Source organism: Homo sapiens, chromosome 9 (genome assembly GCF_000001405.40).
Source record: "Homo sapiens chromosome 9, GRCh38.p14 Primary Assembly".
NCBI classification, from domain to species: Eukaryota; Metazoa; Chordata; class Mammalia; order Primates; family Hominidae; genus Homo; species Homo sapiens.
Genome location: NC_000009.12, coordinates 100,178,821 through 100,199,452, shown reverse-complemented (window position 1 = coordinate 100,199,452; position 20,632 = coordinate 100,178,821). Strand labels below are relative to the sequence as shown.

The 20,632-nt window shown below is 37.2% G+C and overlaps 1 protein-coding gene across 4 annotated transcripts in view, besides 1 other annotated feature; it reads right to left on the bottom strand.

Moving 5' to 3' along the window:
• Positions 1-20,632, bottom strand: part of INVS (inversin) — a 202,933-nt gene that overhangs the window by 102,723 nt on the left and 79,578 nt on the right. The window lies entirely within an intron of this gene.
• Positions 2,892-3,186: a silencer, noted in NCBI's record as "tiled region #13033; K562 Repressive DNase matched - State 8:EnhW". NCBI's record gives its function as "represses a minimal TATA promoter and a strong SV40 promoter by Sharpr-MPRA in K562 cells {active_cell/tissue: K562}" and the evidence as "EXISTENCE:reporter gene assay evidence [ECO:0000049][PMID:27701403]".

Genomic DNA, 20,632 nt, shown 5'->3' with positions numbered 1-20,632 from the left:
ATTGAAAGGAGCAATAACAGATGGCTCAAAATAAAAATAATAAGATGAAAAACTTAAAATCAACCATATCAAGAATTCATTAAATGTAAATGGACTAATGTTTCAATTAAAATGCAGATATTGTCAGACTAGATAAAAAAGAAAGTCTATAAGAGATGCTTATGTTGTCTACAAGAGATACACTTTAAATATAAAGACACAGATAGGTTGAAAGTAATAATAGAAAAACATTTGCCTGAAATGAGTGATAAGAAAGTTGGAGTGGCTACATTAGTAGCAGATAAAGTAAACAATAAGACATTTACATAGTTTCAAAGTACTGTCCCTCAAAATATTTACTGATTATAAAGATAAAAAGCCTACAAGTACCTTAATTAAGTGAGCAAGTGAATGTAATTAGTGATGAAAAACATCAAAATTTTGTGACACATAATAGGATTCAATAGGAAGAACACAGCATTACTCCTATGACGTCTCTGCGAATGTGGACAACACAAATCTAATCATGAGAAGATACCTAACAAACCCAAATTGAGGGACATTATATAAAATATGTAGCCAGGGCCAGGCATGGTGGCTCACACCTGTAATCCCAGCACTTTGGGAGGCTGAGGCAGGCGGATCATGAGTTCAGGAGATTGAGACCATCCTGGCCAACATGGTGAAACCCTGTCTCTATTAAAAATACAAAAATTAGCTAGGCGTGGTGGTGCATGCCCGTAGTCCCAGCTACACGGGAGGCTGAGGCAGAAGAATTGCTTGAACCCCAGAGATGGAGGTTGCAGTGAGCCGAGATCATGCCACTGCACTCCAGCCTGGCGACAGAGCAAGAGTCTGTCTCCAAAAAAAAAAATGCCAGGCGACGGTGGCTCACATCTTCATGTCTGTAATCCCAGTACTTTGGGAGGCTGAGGAGGGCGGATCACCTGAAGTCAGGAGTTCGAGACCAGCCTGACCAACATGGAGAAACCCCGTCTCTATTACAAATACAAAATTAGCGGGACCTGGTGGTGCATGCCTGTAATCCCAGCTACTTTGGAGGCAGGAGAATCGCTTGAACTCGGGAGACAGAGGTTGCGGTGAGCCAAGATCGCACCGTTGCACTCCAGCCTGCACAAGAAGAGTGAAACTGTCTCCAAAAAAAAAAAAAAAAAAAAAAAAAAAAAAAAAAAAAAAAAAAAAAAAAAATTCTAGCCCTCAATCTTCAAATGTGTCAACACCATTAAAGTTGAGGAAAGATTAAGAAACTTTTCTAGATTGAAGGACACTAAATAGGTTTGACAAAGGCAATGTGTGATTCTGAACTTAATACCTAAGGATATTATTGGGATAATAATAGGGTCTGAGGATAATGTTGTATAAATTTTAATTATCTGATTTTGACAGTGATATAGATATAGACATAGATTTTTGTCCACGGTTTCTGGCTCTTAACTCCCACAGACCTAGTTACAGTCTTTTGTTAAAATGTTGGGTGCTTTAGGCCTCAGAAACAGGCCTCAGAAAACAATCTCTCTCTCTGACCTTCTGCTTTCCTTTCACCTGATCCTTTTTCTCCCCAAGGCAGGCCCTTAGAAACTAAAAATATACTCTACTCTTCCTCTGCCTCTGGCCATAAAGAAATTCTCTGACCTACCTTGTCTGACTGTAGGTTACAAGACCTCTGTTTCAAAAGAGCTTTGCCCCATACCCTGGAGGAAGGAATGCTGCAGAGAGGCCAAGATGAATCTGAACAGACAGGCCTTAATGGGTTTCCCCCTCAATCTATTACAATTAGATCACACCTTTTTGGCCCAATCACATTTCTACATGGTTGTTAATCATGCCTATCCAATGAAGTCTCCATAAAAGGCCCAAAAGGATGGGGTACAGGATAGCTGAATATGTGGAGGCTTATAGGAAGGTGAACAAGAAATTCATCCATATGCTGGGAGGGTGGTGCACCCCACTCCACAGAGACAGAAGCTCCTGTGCTTGGGACCCTTCTATACCTTGCATTATGCAGCTTATCTTTTCTTTTTTCTATTTTATTTATTTATTTTGATAGAGTCAGTGTTTTGCAATGTTGCCCAGGCTGGTCTTGAACTCCTGGGATCAAGGGATCCTCTCGCCTCAACCTCCCAAAGTGCTGGGATTGTAGGCATGAGCTATGGTACCCAGACCATGTATCTCTTCAACCAGCTGTTTATTTGTATCTTTTAATATATCCTTTGTAATAAACTAGTAAACATGTTTCCCTGAGTTATGTGAGCCACTCTAGCAAAGTAATTGAAACTAGACAGGGAGTTGTAGGAACCCCAACTTGAAGCTGGTTTGGTCAGAAGTTCAGGGGGCCTTGACTTGTAACTGGTGTCTGAAGCATGAGGCAGTCTGGACACTGAGACTTCAATCTGTGGTATCTGATACCATCTCTGGGTAGATAGTGTTAGAATTGAATTAGGGGATATCCAGCTGGGTGTCTGCTACAGAACTGACTGCTTGCTTGCTGGTGGAGAGGTCTCCATATATTTGGTCACTGAAGTCTTCTGTGTTGATTTTGTGTCGAGTGAGAGAGCAGAAAAAAACCCAAACAGGTGAAGTGTGTTTTCTCCCCTCAGAATTTCAAACTTGAAGAAAATGCAACATAGCAAAACTTGTGAGTTGCAGCTAAAGCAGTGGTTAGGAAAATTTCACAGGCTTAAATAATTATATGTATTTAAGAAAACTATGTATACAATTAGGTAATTATAAATAATATATTTATATATTATATATAATATTTTATAATAATTTTATCATAATAATGATTATATAAAATCATTGACCTAAGATTCCAGCATAAGAAGCTAGAAAAAGATTGAGATAGAACAGCGACCCCTTTCAGGGACCTGCTGGGCCCCCCTCAGCATGGAAATAAAGGAACCATTTTGAGTCCCTTCAAGGGAAAGTCCAGGCACCCAGCTAGCCTTGAAAAGTAAATGAGCAACCTGATAAGCAAGAAGGTAGTAAAAACAGTTTCCGAAGCAAGCCAGAGTCACAAGGTATTCTGATGTCCCATGGAAACTAAAAGATAACATCTTAACATATGTTCTTGAGTTGTTTATCAGAAACTCCCACCAGACGAAAAATGCCAACAGCTATCACACAGGCCTCAGACAAAGGAGAATTGAGGACTGAATTCTGACCATCACTTTTTGTTCTAAATTTCTTCCTGAGGGGCCTTGGAGAAATCATTGAAAAAGACAGCATACTAAAATGGAGGTAAGAAGAAATAAAATCTGAAAAGTCTAAATCTATAAAAGAAAGTAGGTTTGTTGCCAAAACACCTTCCTACCAAATCGAAAAGAAAAAACTCCAGCAAGACTAGATGGTTTCACTGGTAAATTCTACAAAAAAGTTAAGAAATAAATAATTCCAATCTTACCAGTCTTACTCAACTTTATAAATAATAGAAGAAGATAAGACAGTTTCCCAGCTTATTTTATGAAGTCTGCAAATCCTGATAGGAAAACCTGACAAAGACATTATAAGAAGAAAAAAAACAACTAAACTATAGACCAATATTCCTTTTAACACTGTTGCAAAAATCCTTAATGTATTAGCAAATTAAATTGAGCAATACATAAAAAGTAGGACTTAATCCCAGAAGTGCAAGGTTGGTTTCACATTTTAAAATCAATTGATGTGGCCAGGTGTGGTGGCTCACGCCTGTAATCCCAGCATTTTGGGAGGCCAAGGAGGGCAGATCACTTGAGGTTAGGAGTTCGAGACTAGCCTGGCCAACATGGTGGAATGCTGTATCTACTAAAAATACAAAAATTAGCCAGGTGTGGTGGTGCGGAGCTGTAGTCCCAACTACTCAGGAGGCTGAGCCAGGAGAATTGCTTGAACCTGGAAGGTGGAGGCTGCAGTGAGCCGAGATCACATCACTGCACTCCAGCTTGAGCAACAAAGCGAGACTCCCGTCTCAAAAAAAAAAATCAATTGATGTGTTGCGTGTGGTGGGGTGTGTGCCTGTAGTCCCAGCTACTCGAGAGGCTGAGGTGGGAGTATTGCTTGAGCCTAGGAGTTCAAGTGTAGCCTGGGCAACACAGTGAGACTCCATCTCTATATATTTTTTTAAACAATTGATATAATGAGCAAAATAAATAAAGAACAACAACTATATGATAATTCCAATAGATGTAGAAAAGGCATTTGACAATATTCAACACCAACTCTTGGTTTAAATTCTCAGCGAACTAGAATCAAAAGAAAGTTTCCTCAATCAGTGTATCATTTATCAGTTTTTTGCCTCTCAGCTCCAAATCAGCTTCTTTACCATGTTTTGTGAGACTAGACCCTGTGAAAATTTCTCCTTTGCAGTTGCCACAATATTTGACTTTATCTGTAGCAGGCGCAGCAGGGACACTACAAATAATAGCAGAGGAAGGGGCTCTTCACACTGGTTCCAATGTGCTCTTTTTGCTCCTATGATGCAGATGTCGGAGGTCTATAGGAGACTCAGTGGGTCTCACATTCCAGTAAGTTTCACCACTACCCCAGTGGGCAACTTTCTGCTCATCAGCCCCAGCTCTCTAGCTCTGGCCCTTGGCATTCCAGTGAACTTCACCAACCAGGGGCACAGCCACACTCATTCCTACCAGGCCTGAATCTCAGCTTCCAAGTTTGCTCCTCCCTTGGATACTCTCCCTAAGCCTCAGAGGTAGTAGCTTCCCCCTACATTTGTTATTCCTGTATTCTTTAGCTCAAGGACATCTTTTAAAAATTGAAGTTAATTTCATGTTTAGTGGTGAAATACTACATGCTTTCTTCCTAAGATCAGAAATAAGGCAAGGATGTCTACTCTAATCACTTCTATTTAAATTTGTAATGGAGGTGTTAGCCAGTTAAATAAGGCTGAAAAAAAGAAAAGAAGGAAGAAAGGAAAGAAGGGAGGAAAGAAGGGCATAAAGATTTGAAAAAAAAAACCCTCATTTTAATTTATATATAAGACGATTGTTTATGTAGGAGACTAAAAAATCTATGAAACGACTAATAGAATGAATGAAGAACTTTAGCAAGTTTGCAGAAACAAGATCAATGCAAAAAGATCAAAGACCTACAAATGACAAGCACACGAAAAGATCTCAGCATCATTTGTCATTAGAGAAATGCAAATTAATACCACTACAAACCTAAATGGAATAAATGGCTTTATTTAGAATGGCTCAAATGAAAAAGACTGACTATACAAAGTATCCTCATAAGAAAGTGAGGGTATGGAGGAAATAGAACTTTCATTCACTATCAGTGGGAAAGTAAAATAGTACAAGCACTTTGGAAAACTGTTCACCATTTTCTTAAAAGTTAAACGTACACCTGCTATATGACCCAGCCATTACATTTATAATGATTTACCCAAGAGAAATGAAAGCATATGCTTACAGATGAATGTTCTTACCATCTTCATTAGTAATAGCCCAAAACAGAAAACAACCCAAATGTTCACCAACAGGCAAATGGTTAAACAATCTGTAGTGTATCCAAGGCTAGGTGCTGTTGCTTACGCCTGTAAACTTGAAACTTTTACCTTGTTCATGCCTGCAATCCCAGCACTTTAGGAGGCTGAGTCAGGAGGATCACTTGAGACCAGGAGCTTGAGAACAATTTGTAATATATCCATACAATAGAATAATACTGAACAATGATAATATATAAATCATTGGTATATGCAATAATAACATGAATGAATTTCAAAATAATTATACTGAGTGAAAGAAGCTAGGCAAAAAGAATAGTTTTATATGATTTCACTTACATAAAATTCTTGAAAATGCAAATCAATCTGTTGTGACAGAAAACAGATCACTGGTTGCTTGGGGAGGGAGGGTGGAGGCAGAGAGTGGTTTGAAGAAAGGATAACAAATGGTCATGAGGAAACTTTTGAAGATGTGTAAATATGGTACAACTTATCAAATTACACATCTGAGATATATGTAATTTGTTACATATCAATTACATTCAAGAAAATACTAAATACGCAGAAGGAATAGTGGGGATGGTGGCACAATGCTGTGAATGTGCTTAATGCCACTGAATAGTATACTCAAAAATGGTTAAAATGGCAAATTTCATGTTATGTATATTTTTGCAAAATTTTTATAAAGAATCTGTGCAAAAGAGATTTAAAAAATCAATCAAAATATATTGCTGACTGGGCGCAATGACTGATGCATGTAATCCCAGCACTTTGGGCAGCCAAGGTGGGAGAATTGTTCATGGCCAGCAGTATAAGACCAGCCTGGGCAACATAGCGACACCCCATCTCTACAAAAAAATTTTAAAAATTAGCTGGGTATGGTGGCACATGCCTGTAGTACCAGCTACTCAGGAGGCTGAGGTGGGAGGAATGCTTAACTCAGGAGTTCAAGGCTGCAGTGAGCTATGCTTCTACCACTGCACTTCAGTGTGGGTGACAGAGTAAAATCCTGTATCAGAAAAAAAAAAAAAAAAGACATTGGTATCATAGGTAATCTAATCTGAAATCTTATTTAAAAACTTTGGTTAGTGTCTTATTGTAGTAGCATCTAAAAATAATACAGAAAAAAATGGGTAAAGGACTTGAGCACACAACTTCACAAAAGAAAATATATAAATTATTATTAAGCATATGAAAATTACTCAACTTCATCAGTCATTAGGTAAATGCAAATTAAAACAAAAATGAGAAACACACTAGAAATGCTCAAAGTAAAAGGACTGACAAAACGAAATATTGCCCAAGATATATGGCATCTGAAACTCTCACATACTGTGTTGTTGGTCAGAGTGTAAAGTGGTAGCAACATTTTGGAAAACCATTAGGCAGTATCTACTAAAGCAAAAAATATGCAGGCACTATTAAAGATCATTGCACTTTTAGGTATTTATTTGATGAGTACAAATGTCCACAAAAAGACTTGTACAAGAGTGTTAATTTTTTCAGTTTATTCATAAGATTCTCTCATAATAGCTAAAGACTGTAACCAACCCAAATGTCCATCATCCCATGAATGTATAAACAAATTATGATATATTTGTGCAACAGAATATAATTCAGCAACAGAGAAAGAATAAGCTATGATATGTGCAACAATATGGATAAATCTCAAAAATATTGAGTGAAAGATCCTAGACACAGAAGAATACATACTGCATTATTCCATTTACACACACACACACACACACACACACACACACACACTCTTTTTTCCCCAAGATGGTGGACTGAAAGCATTGTTAGCATGCCTCCCCTACTTGGAAAGACAAAAGAGTGTGTAGAGAGTCATACTGTGAACTTTTGTTCAAGAAGCAACACAGGAACTTAACAGGAAAACTGACAGAAATCACAGACCCTCTGAAAGAAATGGTGGGCTGCGGTCTACCCTGTGAGCCAGATGGAAAACTTAAGACAGTGAACCTGCTCACACACCAAGCACCTTGCTACTACAAACAGCATCTGAGAAAGCCATCAGACAAAGATTCTCTATAACCAAGGAACTCAGAGTCTTCACACCGGAAATCATCAAGAGCCAAATTGGGCTATAATAAACTGTAAACATTAAAGTTACATCCTTAAGGGGGAATAAAAAAATTAAAAAACACAGTTGAATGAAAAATAAATTCAAAAATACTAGAAGAAATAGTCTACCCAAGTGAGAAGGAACCAGAAAAATAATTCTGACAATATGACAAAACAGGGTTCTACAGTACCCACAAAAGATCACACTAACTCTCCAGCAATGGATCCAAACCAAGATGAAATCTTTGAAATACCAGATAAAGAACCCAAAAGGTTGATTGTTAAGCTACTCAAGGAGATGCAAGAGAAAGGTGAAAACCAACATAGTGAAGTTAAAAAAATAATTCAGGATATGAGTGATAAATTTTCTAGAGATGGATATTTTAAAGAAAAACCAATCAGAACTTTTGAAAATGAAAGACACATTTAGAGAATTAAAAAATGCACAGGAAAGTTTTAACAATAGACTAGAACTAGTAGAAGAAAAATTTCAGAGCTTGGAGACAAAGCTTTTGAATTAACCCAATCAGACAAGAGTAAAGAAAATATAATTAAAAGAAATGAATAAAGTCTCCAAAACATATGGGATTATGTAAAATTGCCAAACCAAAGAATCACTAGTGTTCCTGAGGGAGAAGACAAACAAAAAATTTGGAAAACTTATCTGAGGGAATAATTAAGGAGAACTTCCCTGACCTTGCTAGAGATTTAGATAACCAAACACGAGAAACTGAAAGAACTCCTGGGAGATTCATTACAAAAAGGATATCACCAGCTGGACCCAGTAGCTAATGCCTGTAATACCACTTCGGGAGGCCGAGGTGGGAGGACTACTTGAGACCAGGAGTTTGAGACCAGCTTGGGCAACATAGAGAGAACCCATCTCTATAAAAAATTAAAAAATTAGCCTGATGTGGTGGCATATGCCTATAGTCCCAGCTACTCAGGAGGCTAAGGTGGGAGGATTGCTTGAGCCCAGGAGGTCAAGGCTGCAGTGAGCCATGATCATGCCACTGCATTCCAGCCTGGGTAACAGAGTGAGACTCTGTCTCAGAAGAAAAAAAAAAGAAAACAAAAAGGACATCACCAAGGCATATAATTATCAGGGTATCTAAAATCAACATGAAGGAAAGAATTCTAAGAGCAGTAAGACAAAAGCATCAGGTAACCTATAAAGGAAAACTTATTAGACCAACAACAGCCTTCTCAGCAGAAACTTTACAAGCCAGAAAGGATTAGGGTCCTATCTTTAGCCTCCTTCAACAGAATAATTGTCAGCCAAGAATTTTGTATCCAGCAAAACTAAGTTTCATAAATGAAGGAGAAAAAAAGTTTTTTTTCGGATGAGCAAATACTGAGAGAATTTGTCACTACTAGACCAGCTCTACAAGAAATACTAAAAGGAGCTCTAAATCTTGAAACAAAAGGTCAATATGCACCAGAATAGAACATCTTGAAAGCATAAAACTCAGAGCCTATAAAACAATAACACATGAAGAAAACAAAGTAGGTTAACAGTCAACAATGATGACTGAAATAGTACTTCACATCTCAATATTAACGTTAAATGTAAATGGTCTATATCCTCCACTGACAGAATGGTTGAAAAATTACAAACCAAATATCTGCTGTATTCAAGAGACTCACTTAACATGTAAAGATTCTTACAGACTCAAGGTAAAGGGTGGAAACAGATATTCCAAGCAAATGGAAACCAAAAGCAGGCAAGAGTAGCTATTCTGATGTTAACAAAACAGACTTTAAAGCAACAATGGTTAAAAGAAAAAAAGACAAAGAAAGTCATTATATAGTGATAAAAGGATCAATCCAACAAGAAGATATTACAATCCTAAATATATATGCACCTAACTCTGGAGCTCCCAGAGTTGGACAGAAACACAATAATAGTGGGGGACTTCAACACTCCACTGACAGCACTAGACAGATCATCCAGGCAGAAAGTCAACAAAGAAACACAGGACTTAAACTGCACTCTACAACAAATGGACCTAACCAATACAGAAAATTCTACCCCATACTTTGCTGGGCACAGTGGCTCACGCCTGTAATCCTAGCACTTTGGGAGGGTGAGGCAGGCAGATTGCTTGAAACCAGGAGTTCAAGACCAACCTGGCCGACATGGCAAGACCCCCGTCTATTAAAAAAAAACAAACAAATAAATAAATAAAAGAAAAAAGAATACACATACTTCTTATCAGCAAATGGAACATTCTCCAAGATAGAACACATGATAGGCAACAAAATAAGTCTCACTAAATTTTTAAAATTCAAAATCATATCAAAGATAATCAAGTATCAATAAGGTAAACAAGTATCTTTTCAGACCATAGTGGAGAAAAACTAGAAATCAACTCCAAAAGGACCTCTCAGAATTATACAAGTAATGAAAATTAAACAATTTTCTCCTGAATTATTTCTGAGTTAACAATGAAATCAAGATGGAAATTAAAAAATTCTTTGAAATGAATAATAGTGACACAGTTATTAAAGCCTCCGAGATACAGCAAAAGCAGTAGTAAGAGGAAAGTTTTTAGCACTAAATGCCTAAATCAAAAAGTCTGAAAGATCACAAATTGACAACCTATTGTCACACTTCAAGGAAGTAAAGAAACAAGAACAAACAAAAACCCAAACTAGCAAAAGAAAAGAAATAACAAAGATCAGAGCAGAATCAAATGAAATTGAAACAAACAAACATAAACAATATAAAAGAACCAATGAAACAAAAACCTGTGTTTTTGACAAGGTAAACAAGATTGATAGACCATTAGCTATATTAACCAAAAAAAAAAAAAAAAAAAAAGAAGATGCAAATAAGTTCCATTAGAAATGAACGTGGAGACACTACAGCAATATCTGTAACACAGAAATACAAAAAGACATCACAGATATACAAAAGATCATTTGAGACTACTGTGAACACCTCTATGCACACAAAGTAGGAAATCTAGAGGAAATGGATAAATTCCTGGAAATACACAGCCCCCCATCTTCAATTAGGAAGAAACAGAAATCCTGAACAAACCAATAACAAGCAATGAGATTGACTCAGTAATTTTAAAAATTGCCAACAACAACAACAAAAAACGCCCAAGGTCAGATGGATTCACAGCCAAATTCTACCAGATATTCAAAGAAAAATTGGTATCAATATTACTGAAACTATTCCAAAAGATTGAGAAAGAGGTAATCCTCCCTATCTCATTCTACAAAGCCAGTATCACCCTGATACCAAGACCAGGAAAGGATCTAACGGACAAAAAAAAAAAAAAAAGAAAGAAACTACAGACCAATAGCCCTGATGAACATGGATGCAAAAACCCTCAGCAAAATACCAGCAAACTGAATCCAACAGCATATCAAAAAGATAATTCACCCTGGGTTTCATCCAGGGCTGCAGGGATGCTTTAACATTTGCAAGTCAATAAGTACGATTCATCACATAAATGGAATTAAAAATAAAAAACATACAATCATCTCAATAGACACAGAAAAAGCATTCAATAAAATCTAGCATTTCTTTATAAAAAAACCCTCAACACATTATTATTTTGAGGTATGTTCCGTCTAAGTATAGAAGGAAGCCACATATGACAAACCCACAACCAATATCTTAATGAATGGGGAAAATTAGAAAGCATTCCCTGGAAGAACCGGAACAAGACAAGGATGCCCACTTTCATCATTTCTATTCAGCATAGTACTGGAAGTCCTAACCAGAGCAATCAGCACGAGAAAGAAAGAAAGGACATCCAAATTGGAAATGAGAAGGTCAAACTATCTCTCTTTGCCAATGATATGATTGTACACCTACAAAACCCTAAAGACTCCTCCAAAAGAATCCTAGATTTGATAAATGAATCCAATTATATCTCAGGTTACAAAATCAATGTACACAAATTAGTAGCACTGCTATACACCAACAGTGACCATGCAGAGCATCAAATCATGAACTAAATCCCTTTTGAAATAGCTGCAAAACAACACCACCACCAAAACAAAACAAAAAACTGGGAATATACTTAACCAGAAAGATGAAAGATCTCTACAAGATGAACTATAAAACACTGCTGAAAGAAATCATAGATGAGGCTGGATGCAGTGGCTCACGCCTATAATCCCAGCACTTTGGGAGGCTGTGCATCACCTGAGCTTAGGAGTTTGAGACCAGCCTGGCCAACATGGTGAAACCTCATCCGTACTAAAAATACAAAAATTAGCTGGGTGTGGTGGCACACATCTGTAATCCCAGCTACTCAGGAGGCTGAGGCAGGAGAATCGCTTGAACCTGGGAGGCGGAGGTTGTGGTGAGCTGAGATCACGCCACTGCCCTCCAGCCTGGGTGACAGAGTGAGACTTTGTCTCAAAAAAAAAAAAAAAAAAAGAAATCATAGATGATACAAACAAATGGAAACACATCCCACGCTCATTGACTGGAAGCATCAGTATTGTAAAAATGACCATACTGCCCAAAGCAATCTACAGATTCAATGTAATTCTGATAAAAATACCAACATCATTTTTCACAGAATAAGTAACAATCCTAAAATTCATATAGAACCAAAAAAGAGTCTGGACAGCCAAAGCAATCCTCAGCAAAAAGAACAAATCTGGAGGCATCACAATTACCTGCCTTCAAATTATATTACAAGGCTATAGTAATTAAAACAACATGGTACTGGTATGAAAATAGATGTACAGACCAATGGAACAGAATAGAGAACCCAGAAATAAAGTCAAATACTTACAACTGATCTTTGACAAAGCATACAAAAACATAAATTGGGGAAAAAACACCCTATTCAATAAAAGATGCTGGGAAAACTGGATACGCACATGTAGAAAAAAGAAACTGGATCCCTATCTCTCACCATATACAAAAATCAACTCAAGATGGATGAATGACTGAAATCTAAGACCTGAAACCATAAAAATTCTTGAAGAAAACCTAGGGAAAACTCTTCCAGACAATAGTCTAGGCAAAAATTTATGACTAAGACCCCCCAAAGCAAATTTAACAAAAACAAAAATAAATGAGACCTAATAAAAATAAAAAGCTTCTGCTCAGTGAAAAAAATAATTTTCAGAGTAAACAGACAACCCACAAAATGGAAGAACATATTTCTAAGCTATGCATCTGACAAAGAACTAATAACCAGAATCCACAAGAAACTCAAATCAGCAAGGAAAAAACCCAAATAATCCCATTAAAAAGTAAGCAAATGACATGAATAGACATCTCAAAAAAGATATACAAATGGCCAACATCTGGAAAAAATGCTAAACATCACTAATCATCAGGAAATGCAAATTAAAACCACAATGAGATAATATCACCATAGCCCAGCCAGAACAGCCATTATTAAACAGTCAAAAAACAAGAGATGTTGGCATGAATGGGGTGAAAGGGGAACACTTTATATGCTGCTGGCAGGAATGTAAATTAGTACAACCTGGCTGGGCTCGGTTGGTCATTCATGCCTGTAATCCCAGCACTTTGGGAGGCTGAGGTGGGTGGATCATGATGTCAGGAGTTCAAAATCAGCCTGGCCAAGATGGTGAAACCCCGTCTCTACTAAAAATACAAAAAAAATTAGCCAGGCGTGGTGGTGGGTGCCTGTAATCCCAGCTACTGAGGGGGCTGAGGCAGAGAATTGTTTAAAACCCGGGAGGTGAAGGATGCAGTGAGCTGAGATTGCGCTACTGCACTCCAGCCTGGGTGACGGAGTGAAACTCCATCTCAAAGAAAAAAAAAATTAGTACAACCTGTATGGAAAACAACGTGAAGATTTCTCAAGGAACTAAAAGTAGATCTACCATTTGACCCATTTGATCCAGCAATTCTACTACTGGGTATTTACCCCGAGGAAAGTAAGTCATTAAAAAGACATCTGCATGCATATGTATATTGCAGCACAATTCACAGTTGCAAAGATATGGAATCAACCTAAGTGCCCATCAACTGATGAGCAGATGAAGAAAATGTGGAACATATATACAATGGCATACTACTCAGCCATAAAAAGGAAGAAATAATGTCCTTGTAGCAACTTGGATGGAGGAGGCCATTATTCTAAGTGAAGCAACTCAGGAATGGAACATCAAATACTGTATGTTCTCACTTATAAGTGGAAGCTAAGCTATGGTTATGCAAAGGCATACAGAGTGATATAATGTACTTTGGGGACTCAGAAAGGGGAAGGGTGAGAGTGGGCAGAGGAATAAAAAGCTACATATTGGGTACAACATACACTATTCAGGTGATGGGTGCACTAAAATCTTAGACTTCACCACTACACAATTCATCCATGTAACCAAAAACCACTTGCACTATAAAAGCTACTAAAATGAATATATATATATATATATATATATATATATATATATATATATTTCTATGCATATACAAAATGAAGTGTTTCTCTTGTAGACAGCAAAAAAAAAATTCTATTTATAAAAACTTCAAGAACAGGTAAAACTAATCTTTTGTGTTAAAAATCATAATGGTGTTAACCATGGAGGTGGTGACTGGTTGAAAGTGGGGAAAAAAGGAACTTTCTGGTGTTGCCTAAATGTTTTATGTCCTGACTGTGGTGGTGGTGATGTGAGTAGGTACATTTATTACACATATCTAATTGTATATTTTTCTGTACATTCTTGTATGCACATTTTAACTCAATAATAATAATCATTAAAAAATATTATTGGAACAAATATAAAGATGACAGTATAAAGTTTACATTTTTGCAATCTAAGTTCATTTTAAAAAGTAAATCTATTATCAACATTATTTCATAAAAAAGTGTAAGCCCTCAAAAAGGAAATAAAGGACTGTCCTTCCTGAAAGGACAGCTGGTAGCTTTTCACCAACATCTATTTACATCTTTCGTGCCTGAGGAAAATCATTAATAACTGACAATCAATAAATCTATGGCATGCATTACACAGAATTGCCCAGGTAAGAAATAGCTTTATAGCAAAGGATCACAAATTAATTGTAACTTGAGTATCTACTCCTGTCATTTTCCATTTGTGGCAAATATTCAAAATCACTGTTTTTTCCTGCATGCAATGTCTTTAAGAATTATGGCATCTCCCTTCCAATGACCTCTTAAATAGGCCTCTTATTGAATCTCTGCTTGAGATGCTCTGAAAGATCTCTTTGAGTGCTCCCCTTACTTTCCCCCACATGCATTTTTTTGTATACCATGTAGCCTATATACGAAGTCATATTATTCTAAATATGTCTTCCCAATGTAGCAAAAGGCCACCCAACTATTTTCAAGAACTGTAGTAACAGGAAGACAGACTTATTACATACAGACTATAGGTGCACAGACATGCACAAACCTATATGTTAAATACTACACAAACCTATATATGTTAAATACTACAATGATCTTTTCTTCATTTTTTTACAAAATGGTGAGGACTTTGTCATCAACACGAAGCAAGTGGTCTATGGATTCACAGGAACTAATGCTTTTCAGTGAGGTAAAACAGTGCTCTGGTGATCTGCATGGTTTTCCAGCAACATATACTCTCTGTTACATGCAACATATACTTCTCTCTTATACAACTACATCCAATAACTTTGATTTAGCACTGCTAGAAACATTCCCAACACTGGCATTTTAAACATATTAGAATCAGGTGAGGAGCTTTTAAAAAGCATTACTGTCTGGTTTCTACCTCAGACCAATTGAATTAGAATCTTGGGAAGTGAAACTCAAGCAATTTTTAAGAATTCCTTTAAAATTTTTTCTCTTGAATTAAAAAAAGCGATACTTCATTGCATTATTATTTTAGTATTTCCTCCAAGTATTATAGTTCATATCCATAACTTTACAAAGTCTATTTAGAGTTAATGTTGTATCACTTTATACAAAATGCAAGACCCTTGCAATTGTATAGTTGCATTATCCCCACCCCATACTTTATGCTGTAGATATCATATATATGTATTATACCTATATTTACTATAAATTCCATAATAGTTTTATAATTTTTGCTTTAAATAGCAATATTAATTTTAAAGAAATTAAGAAAAAATAATTGTTTATCTTTAGCTACCTATTTATCTTTTCTGGTGCTTTTTTTTTTTTTTTTTTTTTTCCCTGAAACAGAGTTTCACTCTGTTGCCCAGGCTGGAGTACAGTGGCGCGATCTCGGCTCACTGCAACCTCTGCCTCCTGGACTCAAGCAATTCTCATGCCTCAGCCTCCCGAGTAGCTGGGACTACAGGCGCATCACCACACCCAGCTAATGTTTTGTATTTTAGTAGAGACGAGGTTTCACCATGTTGCCCAGGGCAGTCTTGAAATGCTGAGCTCAGGTGATCTGCCCTCCTCAGTCTCCCAAAGTGCTGGGATTACAGGCGTAAGCCACTGTGCCCGACCATTATTTCTTTTAATATAGGTTTGTTTGGGATAAATTATCTTAGTTTTGTTTGTCCTTATTTCAGTTTTATTCTGGAAAGATAGTTTTACCAGATACAGAATTCTAGATTGACAGTTTTTCCTTTCAGCATTTTAAAGCGATTATTTTACTGTCTGCATGTGCCTATTGATACTGAAGAGTATGTTGTCACCTGTATTCATGCTTTACTATATTGGATCATGTCTTTTCTTTTTTTAATTATACTTTAAATTTTGAGATACATGTGCAGAACGTGCAGGTTGGTTACATAGGTATACACGTGCCATGGTGGTTTGTTGCACCCATCAACCTGTCATCTACATTAGGTATTTCTCCTAATGCTATGCCTCCTCTTACCCCTCATCCCCCGGCAGGCCCCAGTATGTGATGTTCCCCTCCCTGTATCCATGTGTTCTCATTGTTCAACTCCCATTTATGAGTGAGAACATGCGGTGTTTGGTTTTCTGTTCCTGTGTTAGTTTGCTGAGAATGATGGTTTCCAGTTTAATCCATGTCCCTGGAAAGGACATGAACTCATCCTTTTTATGGCTGCATAGTATTCCATGGTGTATATGTGCCACATTTTCTTTATCCAGTCTATCACTGATGGGCATTTGGGTTGGTTCCAAGTCTTATTGTGAATAGTGCTGCAATAAACATATGTGTGCATGTGTCTTTATCGTAGAATGATTTATAATCCTTTGGGCATATATCCAGTAATGGGATTACTGGGTTAAATAGTATTTCTGGTTCTAGATCCTTGAGGAATCGCCACACTGTCTTCACAAAGGTTGAACTAATTTACACTCCACCAATAGTGTAAAAGCATTCCTATTTCTCCACATCCTCTCCAGCACCTGTTGTTTCCTGACTTTTTAATGATCGCCATTCTAACTGGCATGAGATGGTGGTATCTCGTTGTGGTTTTAATTTGCATTTCTCTAATGACTAGTGATGATGAGCTTTTTTTCATGTGTTTGTTGGCCGCAATAATGTCGTCTTTTGAAGACAGTGTCTGTTTTTTGAGACGTGTCTGTTTATATACTTCGCCCACTTTTTGATGGGGTTGTTTTTTTCTTGTAAGTTTAAGTTCCTTGTACATTCTGGATATTAGCCCTTTGTCAGATGGATAGATTGCAAACATTTCCTCCCATTTTATAGGTTGCCTGTTCACTCTGCTGATAGTGTCTTTTGCTGTGCCAAAGCTCTTTAGTTTAATTAGATCCCACTTGTCAATTTTGGCTTTTGTTGCCATTGCTTTTGGTGTTTTAGTCATGAAATCTTTGCCCATGCCTCTGTCCTGAATGGTATTGTCTAGGTTTTCTTCTAGCGTTTTTATGGTTTTAGGTCTTACGTTTAAGTCTTTAATCCATCTTGAGTTAATTTTTGTATAAGGTGTAAGGAAGGGGTCCAGTTTCAGTTTTCTGCATATGGCTAGCCATTTTCCCAACACCATTTATTAAATAGGGAATCCTTTCCCCATTGCTTGTTTTTGTCAGGTTTGTCAAAGATTAGATGGTTGTAGATGTGTTGGGTTATTTCTGAGGCCTCTATTCTGTTCCATTGGTCTATATCTCTGTTTTGGTACCAGAATCATGCTGTTTTGGTTACTGTAGGCTTGTAGTGTAGTTCGAAGTCAGGTAGCATGATGTCTCCAGCTTTGTTCTTTTTGCTTAGGATTGTCTTGGCTATATGGGCTCTTTTTTGGTTCCATACGAAATTTAAAGTAGTTTTTTCTAATTCTGTGAAGAAAGTCAATGGTAGCTTGATGGGGATAGCACTGAATCTATAAATTGCTTTGGGCAGTATGGCCATTTTCATCATATTGATTCTTCCTATCTATGAGTATGGAATGTTTTTCTATTTGTTTGTGTCATCTCTTATTTCTTTGAGCAGTGGTTTATAGCTCTCCTTGAAGAGGTCTTTCACATCACTTGATAGTTGTATTCCTAGGTATTTTATTCTCTTTGTAGCAATTGTGAATAGGAGTTCACTCATGATTTAGCTGTTTGTCTATTATTGGTGTATAGGAATGCTTGGGAGTTTTGCACATTGATTTTGTATCCCGAGACTTTGCTGAAGTTGCTTATCAGCTTAAGGAGATTTTGGGTTGAGATGATGGGATTTTCTAAATATACAATCATGTCATCTGCAAACAGAAACAATTTGGCTTCCTCTCTTCCTATTTGAATACCCTTTATTTCTTTCTTTTGCCTGATTGCCCTGGCCAGAACTTCCAATACAGGAGTGGTGAGAGAGGGCATCCTTGTCATGTGCCAGTTTTCAAAGGGAATGCTTCCAGTTTTTGCCCATTCAGTATGACATTGGCTGTGGGTTTGTCATAAGTAGGTCTTATTATTTTGAGATACATTCCATCATTACCTAGTTTTTTGAGAGTTTTTAGCATGAAGGGGTGTTGAATTTTATTGAAGGCCTTTTCTGCATCTATTGAGATAATCATGTGGTTTTGTCATTGGTTCTGTTTATGTGATGGATTATGTTTATTGATTTGTGTATGTTGAACCAGCCTTGCATCCCAGGGGTGAAGCTGACTTGATCATGGTGGATAAGCTTTTTGATGTGCTGCTGGATTCAGTTAGCCAGTATTTTATTGAGGATTTTCACATCAATGTTCATCAGGGATATTGGCCTGAAATTTTCTTTTTTTGTTGTGTCTCTGCCAGGTTTTGGTGTCAGGATGATGCTGGCCTCATAAAATGAGGTAGGGAGGAGTCCCTCTTTTTCTATTGATTGGAATGGTTTCAGAAGGAATGGTACCAGCTCCTTTCTGTACCTCTGGTAGAATTCAACTGTGAATCTGTCTGGTCCTGGGTTTTTGGAGGTTGCTAGGCTATTAATTACTGCCTCAATTTCAGAACTTGTTATTGGTCTATTCAGGGATTCGACTTCTTCCTGGTTTAGTCTTAGGAGGGTGTATGTGTCCAGGAATTTACCAATTTCTTCTAGATTTTCTAGTTTATTTGCGTAGAGGTGTTTCTGGTATTCTCTGATGGTAGTCTGTATTTCTGTGGGATCAGTGGTTATATCCCCTTTATCATTTTTTATTGTGTCTATTTTATTCTTTTCTCTTTTCTTCTTTATTAGTCTGGGTGGTGGTCTACCTGTTGTTAATCTTTTAAAAAAAAACCAGCTCCTGGATTCTTGATTTTTTGAAGGGTTTTTCGTGTCTCTATCTCCTTTAGTTCTGCTCTGATCTTAGTTATTTCTTGTCTTCTGAATTTGTTTGCTCTTGCTTCTCTAGTTCTTTTAATTGTGATGTTAGGGTGTCGATTTTAGATCTTTCCCACTTTCTCCTGTGGGCATTTAGTGCTATAAATTTCCCTCTAAACACTGCTTTAGCTGTGTCCCAGAGATTCTAGCACGTTGTGTCTTTGCTCTTATTGGTTTCAAGGAACTTATTTATTTCTACCTTAATTTCATTATTTACCCAGTAGTCATTCAGGAGCAGGTTGTTCAGTTTCCATGTAGTTGTGTGGTTCTGAGTGAGTTTCTTAATCCTGAGTTCCAATTTGATTGCACTGTGGTCTGAGAGACTGTTACGATTTCCATTCTTTTGCATTTGCTGAGGAGTGTTTTACTTCCAATTATGTGGTCAATTTTAGAATAAGTGCAATGTGGTACTGAGAAGAATGTATATTCTGTTGATATGGGGTGGAGAGTTCTGTAGATGTTTATTAGGTCTCCTTGGTCCAGAGCTGAGTTCAAGTCCTGAATATTCTTGTTAATTTTCTGTTGCATTGATCTTTCTAATATTGACAGTGGGGTGTTCAAGTCTCCTATTATTATTGTGTGGGAGCCTAAGTCTCTTTGTAGGTCTCTGAGAACTTGCTTTATGAATCTGGGTGGTTCTGTATTGGGTGCATATATATTTAGGATATTTAGCTCTTCTTGTTGCATTGATTCCTTTACCATTATGTAATGCCCTTGTTTGTCTTTTTTGATCTTTGTTGGTTTAAAGTCTGTTTTATCAGAGACTAGGATTGCAACCCCTGCTTTTTTTTTTTGCTTTCCATTTGCTTGGTAAATATTCCTCTATCCCTTTATTTTCAGCCTGTGTGTGTCTTTGCACGTGAGATGGGTCTCCTGAATTACAGCACACCAATGGGTCTTGACTCTTTATCCAATTTGCCAGTCTGTGTCTTTTAATTGGGGCATTTAGACCATTTACATTTAAGGTTAATATCGTTATCTGTGAATTTGATCCTGTCATTGTGATGCTACCTGGTTATTTTGCCTATTCGTTGATGCAGTTTCTTCACAGTGTCGATGGTCTTTACAATTTGGTATGTTTTTGCAGTGGCTGCAACCAGTTTTTCCTTTCCATAGTTAGTGCCTCCTTCAGGAACTCTTGTAAGCCAGGCCTGGTGGTGACAAAATCTCTCTGCATTTGCTTCTCTGTAAAGGATTTTATTTCTCCTTCGCTTATGAAGCTTAGTTTGGCTGGATATGAAATTCTGTGTTGAAAATTCTTTTCTTCAAGAATGTTGAATATTGACCCTCACTCTCTTCTGGCTTGTAGGGTTTCTGTAGAGAGATCCACCGTTAGTCTGATGGGCTTCCCTTGTGGGTAACCTGACCTTTCTCTCTGGCTGCCCTTAACATTTTTCCCTTCATTTCACTCTTGGTGAATCTGACGATTATGTTTCTTGG